The following is a 22099-nucleotide window of genomic DNA, read 5'->3' on the forward strand; positions in this document are numbered from 1 at the left end:
GATGATAAAGTGCCCTGCCTAAAAGCAAGACTTTTACCCTTTTCCTTGGTAGACATAACCTCCACTTTTGGTCCCCTTTTAACACCACCATATGCAGAAGTGTTTCACTTCATATCACCTTCATGGAATCTTCCCACAGGTTCTGCTGATGCTCAAGTAGGTAAGAATAGGACATATATTTATGGTCTGTAGAATGCATGTATGTAGTTGGGATCTGTGGTAGATTGTCTGCAAAGATGACCATCAACAATTTCGTTCATCTTTGTATATGTACATTGCTCTTCCCAACAAGAGATGGAGTCTGTTTCCTCCCCACTTGAATATAGATGGCCATGTGACTAGCTTTGGCTAATAGAATTCAGTAGAAGTGATGTTAATCTAACTTTGGGACCTGGACCTTAAGAGGCCTTCCAACTTCCAGTTTTGCTGTCTTGAGATTTGGGCACCATGTTTAAGAAGCTTGGCCTTCTGGATGATGTAAGACCACATGGAGAGAGAGAAGCCTAGCTAGCACCCAACTATTCCAGCCACTGCAAGTGAGGTGCAAAACATGTGAATAAAGCCATCTTGTATTCTCTAGCTCTAGCGAAACTATCCCAGCTTCCTCAGGAGTCACGAAGCAGCCACCCCATGAAGCACAGACAAGCCATTCTTGAGGAGTCCCACCTTAGTTGCACAATCATGACAAATAATACTTTTGGGGGTGATTTGTTTTAAGCCATACTTTTGGGGGTGATTTGTTATATAGCAGTAGATAACTGAAATAGGATCTGTTTCAGGATTTCTTTTATGATAAAACTTCCAGAAATACATTGCATTTAAAAGAAGCACTTCTGCAATTTGTAGCAAAATTATGATGCAATTATATTTTGTCCCAGCAGTCTTCCTTCTAGGATTCTATCCCAAAGATACTCTGGCAAAAACACAAAGAGACATATTGGCTATTCATTGCAATACTACCTAAAATGGCAACAAACTTTAAACAATTCAAATGTATATCAGCAGGGGACTCGTTGAATATGTTATGTAACATCTACATGATGAAGTAATATGCAGCTATAGAAAAGGAATGAGGAACACCTCTGTAAACTGCCGTAGAGTAATCACCAAGGTATAAAGTTGAATGAAAAAAAGCAGGCACAGAAAATTATGTATGGTATGATATGCCATTGTTTAACTTTTTTTTTTTTTTTTTTTTTTTTGATACTGAATCTGGCTCTGTCACCAGGCTGGAGTGCAGTGGTGCGATCTCGGCTCATTGCAATCTCCACCTTCTGGGTTCAAGCGATTCCCCTGCCTCAGCCTCCTGAGTAGTTGGGACTACAGGCACGCACCACCACTCCTGGCTAATTTTTTGTATTTTTAGTAGAGACGGGGTTTCACCATGTTGGCCAGGATGGTCTCGATTTCCTGATAGCGTGACCCGCCCGCCTCAGCCTCCCAAAGTGCTGTGATTACAGACGTGAGCTACCGTACCCGGCCGTGTAACTTATTTTTTAAAGAAAAGATAAAATATAAAAACTTTAGGCCGGGCGTGGTGACCCACACCTGTAATCCCAGCACTTTGGGAGGCTGAGGCGGATGGATCACCTGAGGTCAGGAGTTTGAGACCAGCCTGGCCAACATGGTGAAACCCCATCTCCACTAAAAATACAAAAATTAGCCAGGCGTGGTGGCGGGCGCCTGTAATCCTAGCTACTTGGCAGGCTGAGGTAAGGAGAATCGCTTGAACGCGGGAGGTGGAAGTTGCAGTGAGCTGAGATTGTACCATTGCACTCCAGACTGTGTGACCGCGAGACTCTGTCTCAAAAACAAAAAACAAACAAAAAAAAAGCTTTAAAAGAAGTTATTACCTTAAGGGGAGGGAGTGGATGGGGTAAATGATAACACAGAAATATAATCTTAAAACTCTAGACTGTCCCCGCCCCTGGCCTGCCCAGCCCGCGGCAGCAGCGTGGCCGCGGTGCAGCATCAGCATCAGCAGCAGTAGCAGCAGCGGGCGGCCGCGTGGGTGTTTTTGTCGGGTCTCGGGGTCTGGCAGCAGCATGGCGGACTACCTGATCACCAGCAGCACCGGCTACGTGCCCAGGGATGGGCTCACTGTGCCCCAGCTCTTCGTCGGCGCTGACGGCCTCACCCACAACGACTTCCTGATTCTTCCAGGATTCATAGACTTCATAGCTGATGAGGTGGACCTGACCTCAGCCCTGACCCAGAAGGTCACGCTGAAGACGCCGCTGATCTCCTCCCCTATGGACACTGTGACAGAGGCTGACATGGCCATCGCGATGGCTCTGATGGGACCTATTGGTTTCATTCACCACAACTGTACCGCAGAGTTCCAGGCCAAGGAGGTACAGAAGATCAAGAAGTTTGAACAGGGCTTCATCACGGACCCCGTGGTGCTGAGCCCCTCGCGCACTGTGGGTGATGTGCTGGAGGCCAAGATGCGGCATGGCTTCTCTGGCATCCCCATCACTAGACGGGCACCAAGCTGGTGGGCATCGTCACCTCCCGAGACACTGACTTTCTTGCTGAGAAGGACAACACCACCCTCCTCAGTGAGGTGATGACGCCAAGGATTGAGCTGGTGGTGGCTCCAGCAGGTGTGACGTTGAAAGAGGCAAAAGAGATCCTAAGTGTAGCGAGAAAGGGAAGCTGCCTATCGTCAATGATCGCGATTAACTGGTGGCCATCATCACCCACTCCGACCTGAAGAAGAACAGAGACTACCCTCTGGCCTCCAAGGATTCCCACAAGCAGCTGCTGTGCAGGGCAGCTGTGGGCACCCGTGAGGATGACAAATACTGCCTGGACCTGCTCTTCCAGGCGGGTCTCAACGTATAGTCTTGGACTCGTCCCAGGGAACTCGGCACATCAGATCACCATGGTGCATTACATCAAACAAAAGTACCCCCACCTCCAGGTGACTGGGGGGAACATGGTGACAGCAGCCCAGGCCAAGAACCTGACGCTGGTGTGGATGGGCTGCTAGTGGGCACGGGCTGTGGCTCTATCTGCATCACCCAGGAAGTGATGGCCTGTGGTCGGCCCCAGGGCACTGCTATGTACAAGGTGGCCGAGTATGCCTGGCACTTTGGTGTGCCCATCATATTCAATGGTGGCATCCAGATCGTGGAGCACATGGTCAAGGCCCTGGCCCTTGGAGCCTCCACAGTGATGACGGGCTCCCTGTTGGCTGCCACCATGGAGGCCCCCGGTGAGTACTTCTTCTCAGATGGGGTGTGGCTCAAGAAGTACCGTGGCATGGGCTCGCTGGATGCCATGGGGAAGAGCAGCAGCAGCCAGAAACGATACTTCGGCGAGGGGGATAAGGTGAAGATCGCGCAGGATGTCTCAAACTCCATCCAGGACAAAGGGTCCATTCAAAACTTCGTGTCCTACCTCATAGTGGACATCCAGCAAGGCTGCCAGGATAGCAGGGCCCACAGCCTGTCTGCCCTTTGGTCCATGATGTACTCAGGGGAGCTCAAGTTTGAGAAGTGGACCATATTGGCCCAGATCAAGGGTGGCGTCCACGGCCTGCATTCTTAGGAGAAGCGGCTGTACTAAGGACAGCGGTGGAGGTCGAGGTGGTGGAGGGGGTGCACCCCAGTGTCCACCTTCGGGCACTGCCTCCCTCCATAACTGAGTGGTCCACAGATTTGCACTACAGGTTCCCCAGCTCCTTTCCAGCGAGAGAGGAGGGGAGGTCCTGAGGGGTCTGCAGCCCCTCGCTCAGCATCCCCTGCAGTCAGGACTTTTCCCTGGGCCAGGCTGCCCTGGGAGCCCCCTGAGCCCAGCCAGCCAGGGTCTCAGGTGCCTGCCTCAGGTCTTTCTTGCTGCAGCCTGCTCCAGCCCGGCCCCCACCCTGGGGGGCAGGCAGCCCCTCCTGGCTTCTCCTGTAGAGCACCTCCCTGCCCCCAGCCCCCCAGGAAATGGTGCTCTCCTGGCCCTGCCTCTGGCCCTTCCCGGGCCGCTGCCCCCTCAGCCATGTGGCACTTCTTAGCTCCTGACCTAGACCAAGGAGTGGTCTCTGCCCCCTTCCCTGGCCCTGGGCTACCCTTGGGTCCTGCTCCTCAGGCAGCTCCCCTGTCCCTGGCCCTGGGGAGGAGGCTGCCCTGGTCATGGCCACCTGCCTGTCATTCCTGACTCACCACCATCCCCAGGTGTACCATTCCTGCCTTCTCCTCAGCCGCTGTTGAAGGCTTTAACTTTGCATACTTTGGGATCACAGTTGTGTCATTGTGTATTAAATAATTGGAATAAATCAAGCAGGTCTCAACGCCTCTACCAAAAACAAAAACAAACAAACAAACAAACAAACAGAAAACAAAAGCTCTAGAACTCTAGACTGTGGGAAACTATAGCACAAATAACCTAGTTTCTCCTACAAGTAAAATTTAAAGAAAACAAAAAGGGATGGAATGGGAACCTTGTGATTAAAAAGAGGAACTTAAGGGGCATTCTAACCAATTGCAATTTATGAACCAATTTGTTTTCCAATTTGAATAAATAAACTGAAAAAGTTTGAGACAGGGAAATTTAAACACTGGTTAGACATACAATGCTATTAAGGAATTATTATTTAGGTATGATAATGATAGTATGGTTATATTTTTAAAAGAAGCTTTATATATTAGACACACACTGAAGTTTTTAATGGATGAAATGATATTACACTAGGAATTGCTAAAAAATAATTAGATGAATTAGTGAAGTTACGGATAAAACAGGATTGGCCGTGAGTTGGTAATTAATGAATCTGGATGATTGGTTCATTAAAGTTCATTCTATTGTCTTCTTTACTTTTGTATATAGAGTCATCCCTTGGTATCCATGGGGGATTGGTTCCAGGACCCCCTGCTGATACCATAATTTGTGGATGCTCAAGTCTCTTATATAAACTAGTATTATTTAACCTATGCACATCCTCTGGTATACTCAATTATCTCTAGATTACTTATAATACCTTATACAATGTAAATGCTATATAGGTAGTTGTTATACTGCATTGTTTTTTAATTTGTATTGTTTTTGTTATATTATTTTTATTGTTTTTTGAATATTTTAAAAAGTTTCCATTTTTTTGTTTTTATTATTTTAATTGACACACAAGAATCATACATATTTATGGGATACAGTGTGATATTTTGATACATGTATACAATGTGTAATGATCAAATCAGGATAATTAGCATATCCATCACCTCAAACATTTGTTATTTCTTTGTATTAGGATCAAATATTTTCCATTCATGGTTGAATCTACACAAAAGCAGAACCCATGGATACAGAGGGCCAAGTGTATTTGAAATTTTTCAAAACGAAAAGTTAAAGTAAAAAGGAAAGCCTCTGAGACCCAGCATTTTAAGGGCACTGAATTCATTTTCTTCACAGTATCATACCGTACATCTATTACTCCAAGTAAACCCCATCTATATAAAATGGAAGTTATATCTGTAAAACCACGATGAGTATTTGGAACTGTCTGTGATTGACATCATGTCAGTGATTTTGAAGTTATAATGAATTTTCAGAAGACAAAGCGTTTTTGTTATTTTGCTTTGTTTTGGGCTTTTAAAAAAAAAAAAATTCCAGTGTCACTTTTGTCTCTTAGTAAAAGTTTTACAGTTTTAATTACCATGAATAGTCTTTCTCCTCTTCCAAACATGTATCATCATTCATTCACTCAATCAACATGTTCTTCTTTTTTTTTTTTTTTTGAGACAGGGTCTCACTCTGTCACCCAGGTTGGAGTGCAGTGGCACAGTCACAGCTCACTGCAGCCTTGACCTTCCAGCTTCTTGGCTCAAGTAGTCCTTGCACCTCAGCCTTCCAAGTAGCTAGGACTACAGACATGTGCCACCATGTCCAGCTAATTTTATTATGTTTTTGTAGAGACAGGGTCTCACTATGTTACCCAGGCTGGTCTCAAACTCCTAGGCTCAAACCATCCTTCTGTTTTGGCCTCCAAAGTGCTAGAATTATAGGCGTGAGACACCATGCCCAGCCTTAAGACTTGTTTTTTGAGTGACTACTTTTAGAGCTGCTGGTATTAGGAAATGGTGCTGCGAGCTAACAGGAGTCTGCAGCCCTGCAGCACACAACTGTCAACATGCAAGCCCAGATGCTTACAGTACCATGGAATAACAGGGCTATAATTGAGGTCTTTGAAAGGACATAGAAAGGGCCTGGTTGCTCTTCCCCTAGCAGGAGATGGGAGGAGAAATCTTGAAAGGGGATGTTAGAGCCTGTTAAGATGCTGATTCTGGGGAAAGAATACCAGCAGACTGGGTATAGCTTATTTTGGAGGGAAGATGTAATCTGATGCTTTTTAGGTTACAAACTTCTTTCATTTTCAAATACCTGTTATCTCTTCTCTGAACCAAAATGAATGACCTATATCAGTGGTTCTCAAAGTGTGATCCCTGGATCAGCAGCATCACCATTCCCAGGAAACTGGCTAATGCAACTGCTCAAGCTCCACTCCAGACCTACTGATTCTGCAACTGTGGAGCTGAACCAGTGACCTATGTTTTAATAAGCCTTCCAGGTAATGTTAATACTTGCTCATGTTAGAGAATCACTGGTTTAGAGAAAACTAGTAATTGTTCCATAAATTTAGTTTAAAGAAGGAGAAAGAAGCCTGTCCTTTAGCCAAGTTTAAAAAAAAAAAGGCTGATTACAGAGGAAATTTTGAGAGCATCTAAGGTTAAAAAAAAAAAAGTTTAGCTTGGCTGGAGGCCTGGCAGAACAGTCGTTGTGGAGAAACCAGTGCTTCACAGAGAGAACCGCAAACACTAAACTGGATAGCTGCTGTCTGCCACTCAGGAGCAAGTGCAGACTAGAGACTTATGGAGGTCTCCAGTATCCTTCTCTGAGATACCAATCCTTAACCCAAGAAATCCAAGGCCAATAGCTAAGTATAAAAGTTATTCTCTGAGAGTGAGAATACCTAGATTAGGGATAATGGATAATAAAGCTGTATGAGGCCAGGCGTGGTGGCGGGCACAGTGGCTCATGCCTGTAATCCTAGCACTTTGGGAGGCCAGGGTGGGCAGATCACCTGAGGTCAGGAGTTTTGAGACCAGCCTGGCTAAGAAGGTGAAACCGTTCCTACTCAAAATACAGAAATTATCCAGGCATGGTGCGTGACTGTAGTCCCAGCTACTCAGGAGGCTGAGACAGGAGAGTCCCGTGAATCGGGGAGGTGGAGGTTGCAGTGAGCCGAGATCGCCCTACTGCACTCCAGCCTGGGAGACGGAACCAGACTCCGTCTCAAAAAAAAAAAAAAAAAAAAAATCTGTATGATACAATTTTTGCAAAAACTTGTGTCTATTTCTTTTAACTTTTTAAAATGTGGCTACTAGAAAATGTAACCTATGTAGCTCACATTCGTGACCTGTATTATATTTCTTTTCACACTGATCTGTAAGGCACATATAAAATGGAGGGTGGGTAGGAGAAAAAAACTGACCATTTTTCCTCCAGGTCTGAACAGGGCAGTGGGTGTTCAGAACCACAAATCATCATTTCTTATTTCTGTGTCATTTGTATTTATATTGTGAAGATAACTCAGTAATATGAGCCATAAAAATTATATAGCAAACATCTTTTATATCCATGTTCACAAAGCAGTTTTTCAATCCTAGAAATTAGACTTTCCATCACGGGAGCATGAATTGATTGGTAAAAACTAGAACATATACTAATACGTACCAACAATAGCCACTCCCACTTCTCCTACCTTCACTAGGTCAGACATAGTTAATCAGGACATTTTTTATTTTTATTTTTTTAATTTTGTGAGTATATAGAAGGTGTATATATTTATGGAGTATATGAGATGCTTTGGTACTGGCATGCAATGTGTAATAATCACATGGTAAATGGGTTATCCATAATCAGGCCTTTTTTTCTACAGATCTCAGACACAGCATCAATGTCCTTATCATCTCTGCTCTAAGAAGCTATGTAGCTATTGAGGGATGCAGTCATGATACAAAACTAGGTCTGTTTGACTCCAGAGACTGCATTTCTTTCCTACACCATGCAGATTTCCACTTAATAACAGGTGCACATTTATAGTTTTATTTCTAATTCAGATAAATAAACTGACCTTCTGATTTATAAGCCAGTGTCTTATTAATTTGGTTGATAGATTTTATCCCTGAGAGATCAAATACCTTTTGATATGCTGGCAAACTTGAATATCTGACCCTGACAACTGAGAGCAGGACTCTAGTCCAGGAATAGCCTGTGCAGAGCACACATGCTCACTCTCTTCTCCCTTAACTACAGTAGACATCGAAAATCAATTTCTGTTGCTCTTTTGTGTTGAGCCTAGACATAGCCTCAAAATACTTTTTAACACAGTGCTCTAGAAAGCTACTGCCAGTTGACCTGTGAGACCCTATTGATTTGCTGGTGTGGATGATAGTGACCTAACAAAACTGCTTTTCTCAACATCCAGCTGGCTTTCCTCTGGTGAATCCCTGTCCTTATTCCCTTCTTGCTACTTCCCAGAGAGTAGATAGGTTCTAAAACCAATCCAGAAGGTTTGTGTACCTGAGGAAAGTTTGGGAACCTGAGGAAGAAAAATGGCATTTTAGGAAGTCTAGACTCAATAGGATGGGAAAATTCCTATAACATGTTTTTTGGGTTTTCCAGAAGCAAGCTCTAAACAGGTTTCTACACAGGTCTGTTTAAATTCTATTACGATCTGTGATTTTGAACTCAACAGGAGTATGGAATTTACCACAATAATAGTAATAATAATTCCTGTACCAGTTAGGATTATTTTGGCTGCAAATAATAGAAATTGCCCCCCAAACAGTAGCTTAAACAAGATAGTTTATTTTTCTTACATGTAAGTAACTCCAGAGGAAGGCAAACCCAGACTTGTATGGTGACTCTCAAGCCATTGAGAACACAGATCCCTTCTATCATTTTGTCATTTTAAAGTATGTAGAATGGCCAACCTTCCATTTGTATGTCACCTTATGGGCAAATGTGGCTGCGGAAGTACATTTGCTGTGGGAAGGAAGAAAGAGGAAGGACAAGAGGATTTATCCAGTTCTGTCCTAAGAAGTTGTGGTAGGCTGAATAATGGCTACCCCAAATATGTCCATTCTAATTCCCAGAACCTATAAATATGTTACCTTATATGACTTATTAGTCCTTTTTCACACTGCCAATAAAGACATACCCAAGGCTGGGAAGAAAAAGGTTTAATGGACTCACAGTTCCATGTGGCTGGGGAGGCCTCACAATCATTGTAGAAGGTGAAAGGCACTTCTGACATGGTGGCGGCAAGAGAGAATTAGAAAGACACAAAAGCGGAAACCCCTTATAAAACCATCGGTTCTCATGAGACTTATTCACTACCACGAGAACAGTATGGGGGAACCACCCCCATGATTCAATTATCTCCCACCCTGGAGAATTATGGGAGTATGATTTAAGATGAGATTTGGGTGGGGACACAGAGCCAAACCATATCAGTGACAAAAGGGACTTTGCAGGTTTGATTAAGTTAGAGATCCTGAGATGGGGAGATTATCCTGCATTATTTGGGTAGGTCCAATATAATCATAAAGGCCCTTATCAGAGAGGGGCATGAAAGAGTCAGAGAAGATGTAAAGACAGAAGCAGAAGTTGGAGTGATGTGGGGCTGCAGCCAAGTAATGCAGGCAGCCTTTAGAAGCTGAAAAGACAAGAAAACAAATTCTCCCTAAAGTTATAGAAGGAATATAGCCCTGATATTTTAGACTTCTCTGTTGGTTAACTGTAGGTGTCAACTTTGTCAACTTGACTGGGTTAAGGAATACCCAGTTAGTTGGCAAAGCATTATTTCTACGTATGTCTGTGAGGGTAGTTCTGGAAAAGATTAGCATTGGAATCAATAGACTAATTAAGGCAGATCTGCCCTCACCCAATTTGAGTGGACACTATCCAATCTGTTGAGGACTCAAATCGAACAAAAAGACAGAGGAAGGGTGAATTCACTCTCTTTTCTGGAGCTGGTACACTCATCTTCTCCTGCCCTTGGATATCAGAACTCCAGATTCCCTGGCCTTCAGACTCCAGGAATTGTACCAGTGGTTCCTCAGTTTCTCAAGTGTTCTGCCTGAAACTGAGAGTTATACCATTGGCTTCCCTGGTTCTCAGGCCTTCTGACTTGGATTGAACTATACCACCAGTTTCCCTGGGTATCCAGCTTGCAGATGACATATTATGGGACATCTCAACCTCCATAATCACATGAGCCAATTCCCATAATAAATCTCTTCTCCTATATCTATCTATCTATCTATCTGTCTGTCTATCTATCTACCTAACTACCTATCTATCATCTCAACCTCCATAATCACATGGGCCAATTCCCATAATAAATCTCTTCTCCTATATCTATCTATCTATCTACCTACCTACCTATTTATCATCTCAACCTCCATAATCACATGAGCCAATTCCCATAATAAATCTTCTATCTATCTATTTATCTATCTATGTATCATCTCAACCTCCATAATCACATGAGCCAATTCCCATAATAAATCTGTCCTATCTACCTATCTATCCATCCATCCACCCATCCACCCATCCATCCATCCATCCATCCATCCATCCATCCATCCATCCATCCATCCATCATCCTATTGGCTTTGTTTCTCTGCAGAACCCTGACTAATACTGATTTTGGTACCAGGAGTGAGGTGTTGCTATAGCAAATACCTACAAATGTGGAGTGGCTTTGGAACTGGGCAATAGGTAGAGGCTGGAAGAGTTTTGAAGAGCATGCTAGAGAAAGCCTATATAGCCATGAATAAACTGAAAAGGTGATTCTTGTGGGGGCTCTGAAGATGAGGAGAGCTGTAGAGAAAGCCTCAGTTTTCTCAGAGGCTACCTAAGTGCTCATGATCAGACTGTTGGTAGAAATATGGCTGATAAAGGCCATTCTGATGAGGGCTCAGACAGAAATGAGGAATATATAATTGGAAACTTCAGGAAAGGCAATCCTTAATTATGAAGTGACAAATAACTTGGCTGAATTGTATGTGTCCTAGTGTTTTGTAGGAAGTAGAACTTCTGAATGATGAAATAAGATATTTAATAGAGGAAATATCTAAGCAAAGTACTGAGGGTGCAGCATGGGTTCTCTTGACTGCTTATAGTAAATGCAAGAAGAGGGAAAAAATTTTAAGATGGAATTTGCTATCAAAAAGGAAGCGAAAATTAAAGATTTGGAAAATTCTCTTTCTATAAAAAAATGAGAAAATGTATTCAGGAGAAAACACCAAGGGTGTAGCCAAACAAACATTTGATAAGGAGATTGGTATGGATAGAAGGAAGACAGATGATGTTCATCAAGACAATGATGACTGATCCTGAAAACATTTCAGAGATCTTTGGGGCTGCCCTACCCATCATAAGCCCAGAATACCAGGTCCTTGAGGGCAGAACAATTTCAAGGCTATCCTTCTTGAAATTGGAGCCACCAATGTGCATCTCCAGCCTGGAAGAGCCTCATACATCAGACTCCAATCCATGAGAGCTGTCTGTCACTTGAGCAGGAAATACATGAGAACAGGGCCACTTGGAGCCTTGGGGACCCAACTCCCACTCCCATGTCTCTAGAAGGTGAGACATCAAGTCAAAGAAGAGTATTTTTCAAGCCTTAAGATTTATTATTTGCCATGTTGGATTTTGGACTAACTTGGGACCAGTTACCCCTTTCTTCCTCCCTATTTCTCCCTTTTAGAATGGGAATGTCTATCCTGTGCCTGTCCCACCATTGTATTTTGGAAGCACATAACTTGTTTGGTTTCGCAGACTCACAGCTGGAGGGGAATTTGCCTCAGGATAAACTGTACCTTGCATCTCACTCATTTCTGATTTACATATTTGGATGAGACTCTGGACTTTAGACTTATGAGTTGATGCTGGAATGACTTACAACTTCTGGGGCTATTGGGATGAAAAAATGTATTTTGTATTTGAGAGAACATGAATCGGGTGGGGAGGCAGGGGTGGAATGCTATAGTCTGAATGTTTGTGTTTCCCTAAAATTCGTATGTTGAAACTTAATCCCCAATGTGATAGTAATAAGAGGTGGGGACTTTTGGAGGTGATTAGGTCATGAGGACTTAGCCCTCATGAATGGGATTAGTGCCCTTAGAAGTCAAGGGAGCTTGCTCACCCCTTCTACCATGTGAGAACACAGTGAAAAGATACTATTGATGAAGAATGGAGCCTCACCAAATACTGAATCACCTGGTGCCTTGATCTTGGACTTCTTAGCCTCCAGAACTATGAGCAATGAATTTCCGTTGTTTATAAGTTTCCCAGACTAAAGTATTTTGTTATAGTAGCCCAAATGGGCTAAGACAACTTCTGACCGCCAGAATTGTAAAATAATAAATTTGTGTTTTAGTAAGCCAATAAATTTGGCAATTCATTACAACAGCAATAAGAAAGGAATACAGGATTCTTTCCAGAAGTCCCTCTTAATAATTCCCATTGAGAATTGACTAGAATTTATCTCATTGGCTAGAATTAAGTCAAATGCCCACAAATGGCTGCAAAAGAACCTAGAAAGTATAATCTTTACCTAGGCATATTGAGAACTCCAATATGACAGTAAGTTAGTGAGAAGGAAGGGAATAATGGATGGTGAGTGGACAACTAGAAACTTCCACCAGTTATTGCTTAGGGAACCCTTAATATGAGCCCAGTACTTTGCTGAGCATTTTGCATACATTCTATTATTTATTCATCATCCTAGGTGGATAGAGGTTTTCTTTATTTTACTAATGACTGTGCCTGTCTCACCATTGTGTGGAAAATGTCTCTAAAAAAGACATTTAGAGGGAATTACGTAGTGAGCTCACTAGATTATTTACTGTTGGAGAACAATGACTGTGTTACTGTTTTACTTTTTAAGACCAGCAACCATTTTATAGTGGGGACACAATGAATGTTGATTGGATATGAAATTCTAAATGCCAATATTTTATCCCAGATCTGACTCCAAAGCCCAAGTTCCTGTGCACACATACATGCTCTCTTCTTTCTCTCTCTCTTGCTCTCTCTCTCTCTCTCATTCTCTCTCTTACTCTTTTACTTTCTCACACTCTCTCTGCTGTATGTGTGTGTGTGTGTGTGTGTGTGTCTATAGTGTATGTGTTTCTACAGTGGACATGCTATTGACACCGCTGCCATTCAAGAAACTTTTAAGTGTGCATTAGAAGGCAAATTTATCAACATGTATTAGTGGTTGTGACAAAAAAGATGATGTCCAAGAGGAAGTAACACTGGCAAAAGCATCACATTAAAGGAACTCTCAAGGATACTTCATGTTATTGAAAGTGCAAAGGATAAAATGTTGGACACTAGTACAAATATAGAAAGGATATGACAATTTGCCAAGGCATAGAAAAGATGCTCTGAAGGTAGGCACTATTCAAACTACTCTTGACAAGATTTTTACAAAGCACTTTAATTATCAATGTTTCTAATGTTTTAAATCATAATCTATTAAATAAATGTTAGTTTTGCTATTTTAGAAATATCCCTATACAATTACAACTGAAAGTAAGAGAATTTTTAATGTTTGGGCCAGAATTTTTTGGACCAGTTATAATTTTTCCTATGATTATTAAAATCGCTTTGCACAGTGTCTCCTTGCATGGTCATCTGTATGACTCTGCACTATCATGCAAAGTGAGGACTGCCTGGTTATGGGTAAAACAAGAAATTCAAAATGATGGAATCATACTTATGTTTTAGCATTGTAAGTGTATTTTAAAGTATAATGGGAGTTTGGAAAATGATAAAAGGTACAATAATATTGTAGACACACCTGTCAATGCATACCAGTAACTCACATAGCTATTCGGTGGTGTATGACACATTTGAGACAGAGATTATCTGGGTATTCATTTGTCTGGAGAGAGAGGACAGGTGTGAATGACCATATTATGTCTCATCCTTGGAAAACATGGCAGCTAATGTCAACCTCTCTTAAACATTTGCTCCCTTGAGTCATGAGTCTGTACCAATTAGAAGGCCATTGGGTGCAGGTACCTTAGGACACCAGCTCCTCTTGCTGGTCATTTCTCTTGGCCCTGCTATCTACTTGCATATTGGCTCAATTTCAGGCTGGCAGCTCATCATGACAGCTGTACCAGGTATTACATCCCAATGGTGTTAGGGACTGTCTTTTTTCCAGAGTCTCTTCAGGAGTAAGGAGAAGCCTGCTATGGTTTTGATATTTGTCCACTCCAAACCTCATGTTGAAAATTGACCCCCAGTGTTGGAGGTGGGGCCTAATGGGAGGTGCTTGAGTCATGGGAGCAGATCTCTCATGAATAGAATCATGCTGTCCTTTAAGGGTGAGTGAGTTCTCACTCTCTTAGTTCCCATGAGAGCTGGTTGTTAGCTGGGTGTTGTGGTGTACCTGTAGTCTGAACTACTCAGAAGGCTGAGGCAAGAAGATCATTTGAGCCCAGGAGTTGGAGGCTATAGTGCACTATGATTGCACCTGTGAATAGCCACTGCACTCCATCCTGGTCAACACAGTGAGAACCCATCTCTAAAACAAAGAGCTTGGCACGCCCCTCAACACACATCAGTTTTGCTTAGTGTCTTGCCTTGTGATCTCTATACACACTGGTTCCCCTTTGCCTTCCACCATGAGTGGAAGGAGCTTGAGGTCCTCAACAGATGCAGATGCCCAATCTTGAACTTTTCAGCTGTCAGAATCATGAGCCAAATAAACCTTTTTTTCTTACTCGGGCTGGAGTATTCCTTTATATCAATGCAAAATGGACCAAGACAAAGCCCTCCAGCCAATTTCCACTCCACGTGGCCACTGTAGCAGTCAGAGTTCAGGATGAAAAACTAAAATGACTCTATGCATTCTGGATGTAAAAGGGCCCCTAATTCTTTATATAGAATTAATGGCATACACTACTGCTCAGAGAGTAGAATATGAGGATAAGGTTCAAAAGCTCTATTCTTGAATGTCAGAGTTGCTGACCCTCAAAGATCTTAGCCTGGAACACCTAGGTGCATATTAATATTTCCTGAAGTTTGTGCCAGGAAACTACTAGGAATTTCTCATTTGCCCTGCTATACAGCTATAACCATATCCAGAGGAATAATGTCCTTCTCTTTCCAAATCTTGCCTCTGTTCTCATGAGTAATAACCTGGAACGAGACAGAGATGGTGATTCTAGGACGCCTGGTGGTAGTACTTTGCTGGCAGCAGAAAAATTCAGCATACTCACCTCTAAACCAGCCCCAGCAAGGGGAACAGGCCACTGGGATTACCTTAGGCCCATCACAATTTACCTTTGATCCTGAAGGTAGAGTGTGGCACTCTCACCTGTGTCACATGGGGAAGGGTTGAAACCCACCCAATTCAGGGCTTGACTAGTAAGGAAAACAAAGAAAAAGCTGTTGGTTAAACAAGCAGCAGAGCCTACTGCATACTATATAACAATATAATCATCATTTTATTTGTAAATAAATATATATGTTACCAAAGTAGCTAGCTATATAGTTTAAAGAAATATGCTGTATATGGCTGGGCATGGTGGCTCACCCCTGTAATCCTAGCACTTTGGGAGGCCAAGGCGAGTGGATCATGAGGTCAATAGATTGAGACCATCCTGGCCAACATGGTGAAACCCCATCTCTACTAAAATTACAAAAATTAGCTGGGTGTGGTGGCATGCGCCTGTAATCCCAGCTACTCGGGAGGCTGAGGCAGGAGAATTGCTTGAACCCGGGAGGTAGAGGTTGCAGTGAGCCAAGATTGTGCCATTGTACTCCACCTGGCGACGGAGCAAGACTCCATCTCAAAAAAAAAAAAAAAAGAAAGAAAGAAATATGCTGTATTACATTGACCATGCATACCTATTATTACCCACAAGGTACAAACTCCTGCAAGTTGTTCAGGTTTCAGGCTAAACTGTAAAACTAAAGTCAGCTGATTGATAATTTATGGTATTATTGTATTCTGTAAAAAGGCTTCTTTTAGAAAATTCCTCTATTAGCTCTTCTTCAGATAACAGAACAGATTTATTGGTCTGCTGCTTTTATATATGCCTTGCCAGCACCCCAGCAGATCCTAGATTTAATGAATTTATTTGCGTGACTCAAGTTTACAAGATCAGCCATCCCTTCTCTCTGCTGCTGATCTTCCTGATCTCATTTGGCTGCCACTTTACATCCCAGTTAATTCCATTTCAGTTTCCTCAGAGACTGCAGGACCAGTTTTTCCCTGGGAAAAGGAAAGCTGATGACTGTGAGTCCATTTGGGGGCCCAAAAAACAGAATGCAGATGTCAAAGGTGCTAATATCTGATTTTCTCACCAGGACTGCTTAGACTAAATCCTTTGTATAAGAAAGCCACAAGGACAAGCCTTTTTGGAGGGTATCAGGATAGTTATGTATGTGCAGGTGCCAGGGAGTGGCTTCTGTTCTAGAAGGGCCCCACAGCTCAGCATTTCCTCCCACGTGCTTTCTTGAATATGCAAGCTGCATATATATTTATAACTCTGCAGGAAAAATGTGAACTTTATTAACAGAGATAACTGTCATAATTCAAGCAGTTGCACTCTATAGAGCAACCAGAGACTACAGGCATCAGGATTATGCATGTTCAGTAAAATTATATGCAAATGTTGGGGAATTATGAGATACTAACTAGGGATGAATGAGGAAGAAGGAAGGGCTAGAGTTGACCGTGCCTGTGGGGGACTGTAGGAGTCTAGAGAACATGTCTGAGTGCTCTTCCAGGGAATGTATATCCTTGAGGGCAGTAAATTCATTATGCATTTTTGCATTCTCCCATCCTAGTAGCAACCCTCAATAAATATTTGTTAAGTGAAGGAGTGAATGAAATGTTGACCTTGGCAATGCACAATAACTTCTGAATTGGTCTATGTGTATGCACATTTCCTCCCTTTCCTATTTAAACATTTATTCTAAATCAGTGGAGCCACAGCTGTCCAAGTTAAGAGTCATACTTACAGTCATTATTAACCAAGTGAGGTTCCAAGCCAGTGGTTCTCAACATTGGCTACATGTTACAATGACTTAGGGAGCATTTCAAAATTCCAGTGCTCAGGCTTCATCTCAGACTAGAAAAACAATCTCTGAGCTGAGGCGCAGGCATCAGAATTCCAAGGCTGAGTACCACTATAAGCTAGCATAGAAACTGCCATATCTGTGGAATTAGGAGACCTAGAAGAAATCCCACAGCACAAAAAAGTGCTAGTGCCACTTTCACTGATGTTCAAAGTGCAGAAAAGTTGGGGAAAAAATTCTGATGGGAGTTAGAAATGTGTTTCATTTATTTATTGTATTGTATTTTTTTTTGAGATGGAATCTTGCTCTGTCACCCAGGCTGGAGTGCAGTGGCATGATCTTGGCTCACTGCAGCCTCCGCTTCCTAGGTTCAAGCCATTCTCCTGACTCAGCCTCCTGAGTAGCTGGGATTACAGGCGTGGGCCACCATGCCTGGCTAATTTTTGAATTTTTAGTAGAGTTGGGGTTTCACCATGTTAGTCAGGCTGGTCTCGAACTCCTGACCTCGGGAAATCTGCCAGCCTCGGCCTCCCAAAGTGCTGGGATTACAGGCATGAGCCACTGTGCTTGGCCAGGAATGTGTTTTTGTGCTCATCTGGAACTTGAGGACTGGAAGGTGAGTCACATGTCTAGGAATACATAACACTTCAAACAACAAAATGATGCCACACTGTGAAAAGAGATGGGAAGCTATTGAATATCCCTGTCCTGCCCTGGCTGGTGACCCCTCCCCAACATTCAGGCTGCAGGAACACCTGAGCTCTGGGGCTCTCTGCCTGATACCCAGTGGTGGCCTTATTTATTCCACTGCCGAGTTCTTTCTGGCAACCTTGTACCATTCTTGGGAAAGGTTGGGGAAGCAATAGGTAAATGTTGTTTTGGTTTGTAGACATCTTTTGGTGGGGATGGGGGAGCAGCTGTGCTGGAACTGGGGGAAGGGGAGCTGTGACTCAGGGGAAATTCTAAGTTGCTACAAGCTGCAGCAAGTGTGTGTCAGTGGGAGGTGAGAAAGGCAAACAGAGGGCTGAAAACTGAGCCAGGAACCTGCCTAGTGGATAATCAAAACTCGACTATAAATAACTAATGGAACGACGAACGTGTTTAGTGAAGTTATTTTCTAAAGCAGCGTACAGGCAAAATGAGTGCTTTCCTGGAGCAAATCCTCAAGCTGTTCCAGAAGGGTGAGTAAAAATACAGAAACACCTGTCTGGCAGTGGTGATTTTACATAAATAATTTTTCCAGGTAACTGAAAGCTACCTTGTAAATGCCAAAACCCTGAACATTTTAGTTGTGTAAGGGAAATTTTTCTAAAATGGGTTATATTTTCTCCAGAGGTGGCGAACAGAGTACATTTCATTTACTGGCTTTTGGTGGTTCAGGATTTGGTAGCAGAACCTGGATTTCCTTCTTCACCACCCTTTTCACTCACCTTCAGTTTCAGCTCCAGGCATGGAGCATGAGACATAGGCTTAAAGCCATCAATGTCTCCTTTCGCTTGGTTACAGGTGATGGGCTCTAATGCATGGGCTTTGTGACAACTATCTCCCCTTGTTTTGAGCCCTTTTCTGGCTCCCATGCACTCAGATATGTTTTGGATAGATATAGTCACTGTGAGTCTGGCCTCTGTTTATGAGAGTTACTGAAGTGAATGTATTTTATTTTATCTTATTTTTTAGTGCTCTTAAAATTCACTTTGGTTTTTTAATATTTTTAAAAGACTCATGAGACTGTTCATATTTCATGACCTGCGACTATACTAAGGAGAAACAGCTCAGAAAACTAATTTAAAATAATTCATACCTAATTGCGGTCTCATTTCTGAAAATATTTTGCACACAATCCTACCCTGCCCTGGTACCCTGGACATCACAAAGAGTGGCACAACGTAACATAAGATACCATACCATGTATCCAGCAATCAGCTTTTATGAGACTTGCATCATTATAAACCTATAAGAAAAAAGCCTGTGCATTATGGAAAAATTTGCACAAAACTCTGTGTACCTGACTCATTGTGAACACCCAATCCCTTAGGCCTAATGGTTTGAAATAGTGGGTGAAGCAAAGGCCAATGATGGGTCAAATTCCTGTATTTGTTTCATTGCTGAGGTAGTGAAGGGACCAGGGATGGTGTCAGAAGCTACCACATCAAGATGTGAGAGAGAAGCAGCAGCCAAATCACACGCCAGCTGTAGAGATGCCAGTATGGGGAAGATTGCCCCATGAGCCCACCAGGTCCTGTTTTAAGGGCATCATTACTGTAACCCAGAATGATAAAGTTCACAATTGCAACCTTGTGCCGTTAAGAGAAGTCTACAGTGATGCCCACATGGCTTTTTTCTAAGGTAGATAAGTGTGTAATATCTTTTAGAAAACTTTACATTCTTTAATGATTAAGTATGGGCATTTATTATTTATTTATTTACTTATTTTTACTTTTTATTTTAGAGATATGGCCTTGCTCTGTCACCCAGGCTGGAGTACAGTGGCACGATCATAGCTCAGTGCAGCCTCTACTTCCTGGGCTCAAGCAATCCTCCCACCTCCACCTCCTGAGTAGTTGGGACTACACATGTGCACCACCATGCCTGGCTATTTTTAAAAATTGTTTATGGATGGGGTCTCACTATGTTGCCCAGGCTGGTCTCAAACTGCAGGCCTCAAGTGGTCTTCCTGCCTTTGTCTCCTAAAGTGTTGGGATTACAGGCATGAGCCACTGCATCTAGCCAGGTATGGACATTTAAAGTGGCAAATTTGTCCAGACGCGATGGCTCACACTTGTAATCCCAGCACTTTGAGAGGCTGAGGCGGGCAGATCACGAGGTCAGGAGTTCGAGACCAGCCTGGCCAACACAATGAAACCCCGTCTCTCCTAAAAATGCAAAAAAATTAGCTGGGTGTGGTGCAGGTGCCTGTAATCCCAACTGCTCGGGAGGCTGAGACAAGAGAATTGCTTGAACCCAGGAGGTGGAGGTTACAGTGAGCCAAGATCACGCCACTGCACTCCAGCCTGGGCGACAGAGCTAGACTCCATCTCAATAAATAAACAAACAAACAAACAAACAAAGTGGCAAATTTGAAATATCTGGGAAAATCACTTATGCAGATTTCTTCAATTTGAATTAATAGAATGGAAAATGAAAAAGAGAAGAGACAAAGCTTTCAGTTGCAGTTGTGTTATTAACTAGCTGTGCAATCTAGAAGCTCCGTTTGCTTATTTTTAAACTGGAAAGGCCTTGATTTATACTGTCTGCTGTGGTAGTCACTTGCTACATATGGCTATTTAAATTGATTTCAAATAAATGAAAATTATGATCAAACACAGATACAGGAAAACTGAGGTAGGAAATTAACTGAAACAAAAGTTATCAGTTTGGGACCATAGGCAACAGCTATAAGAATGCTGAGGTAGGGCAAAATTACATAATTAGCCAGAGAGAGCCCAGCCTGAACCAGTGGTTAGGAGACAAATGAGAAGGTGTCAAAATTCACACAACATGACAAGTCAGAAAGCAAGGCAATAGATCAAAAGGGTTCAGTGTAGGCACAGGAAAGACCTTGCTTGCTTAAGACCAGCATGGTATGAATGAAAGAATTCGGAGGCCACGATGTCTCCTGTTAAAAGTCCTCCCTCCATAATCATTGTGGTAGACAGACTAGACCCTAGTGTGGTTTCATTTTCATGACTCTATAATCCCTTCCTCTTAGTGTGGGTGGGACCAAGAACTTGCTTCTAACCAATATAAAATGTGGTGGGAAAGTGATGGAAAGTCATTTTCATCATTACATTATTGTATTGATATATAACTCTGTGTAGCTAGCATGCATTAGAAAGACTCTTTACATTGCTCCCTTGAAGAAGTAAGCTGCCACATCATGAGAGGGCCTATGGAGGGGGCCAATGGCAAGGAACTGCAGGTGGCCTATATTTGCTGAGAGTGGCCCCCAACTGACATCCAGCAACAAAACAGGGCCTCAGTCCTACAACCACAAGGAGATGAATTCTGCCAATGACATGAAGAAGCTTGGAAGTTCTTTCCCCAGTCTAGCCTCTGATGAGCCCACAGCCTTGACCAACATCTGGATTGCAGCCTTTTGAGACCCAGAGCAGAGGGCACAGCTAAGCTGAATCTGGACTTCTGAACTATGGAAACTGTGAGATAATGAGTATTGTTTTGAGCCTCTAAGTTTTTGGTAATTTGTTATGCAGCAATAAAAAACTAATATGTCCATTTACCATGGTCAATCACGGTAGTTTTCAAGGCTTTCTTTAGTTGTGGAGACCTGTTTTTAAGCCAAAGCACACATGGAAGCACAATATGTAAACAAAGAAAGGTAGAATGTCTCCATTTACAGCTGGGTAGAAGGAATGGATCCCTTCCCACCTGGGTTCTCCTGAACTTACAGGGCCACAAGAGGAAACTCTGTGAACAGTCTGAAAACTTAAATAAATGGAAGAAGGACTAGAACATGCTGACCCAGACACACATTTCAGGCTGCAGGGAAGAGACACACTCAAGTGTCCTTCCGTGATGGAGCACAGTGGATAATGTTGATGCACTTTGAGAATTCTCAAATCTCTTTACAGTTTCTGGTTACTCCTCCCCAGTTGCAGTGTGCTTTTTTGCCTTCAAGAGTTACAGGTCTGTACCTGTAACTCTTCTTATGAGAACTCTCCTTGGGTTACTGGAACTGTTTGACCTACTATAGGTAACTACTATAGTTACAGTAACTGCTGTATGACCTCCCTTACCTAGAGTTGGGACTACCTCTGGTGTGTAACTTATACTCCCTTCTAGCCATATCTGGTGGAAACCACCCCAGCCTCTCTCTGTTGGACTGCCTGAAATCACACCATACTTGGTTTTCTCCCTTCCCTGTCTTCCTTCCCCCACTTCCAACCCAGCTTCTGGGAACACTTCTTTAATTATTGCTTTGCACATTACTCCTCATTTCAGTGCCTATTTCAAAGAACCCAACCTGAAGCATAGAGAT

The 22099-nt window shown here is 42.8% G+C and overlaps 1 long non-coding RNA gene and 1 pseudogene across 1 annotated transcript in view; both read left to right on the forward strand.

The window, feature by feature from the left end:
• LOC107986064 (uncharacterized) overlaps nucleotides 1-22099 on the forward strand; it is a 112662-nt gene that overhangs the window by 15888 nt on the left and 74675 nt on the right. The window lies entirely within an intron of this gene.
• Nucleotides 1924-4294, forward strand: IMPDH1P8 (inosine monophosphate dehydrogenase 1 pseudogene 8; annotated as a pseudogene).

The sequence above is a fragment of the Homo sapiens genome, chromosome 3 (genome assembly GCF_000001405.40).
Source record: "Homo sapiens chromosome 3, GRCh38.p14 Primary Assembly".
Classification (NCBI taxonomy): Eukaryota; Metazoa; Chordata; class Mammalia; order Primates; family Hominidae; genus Homo; species Homo sapiens.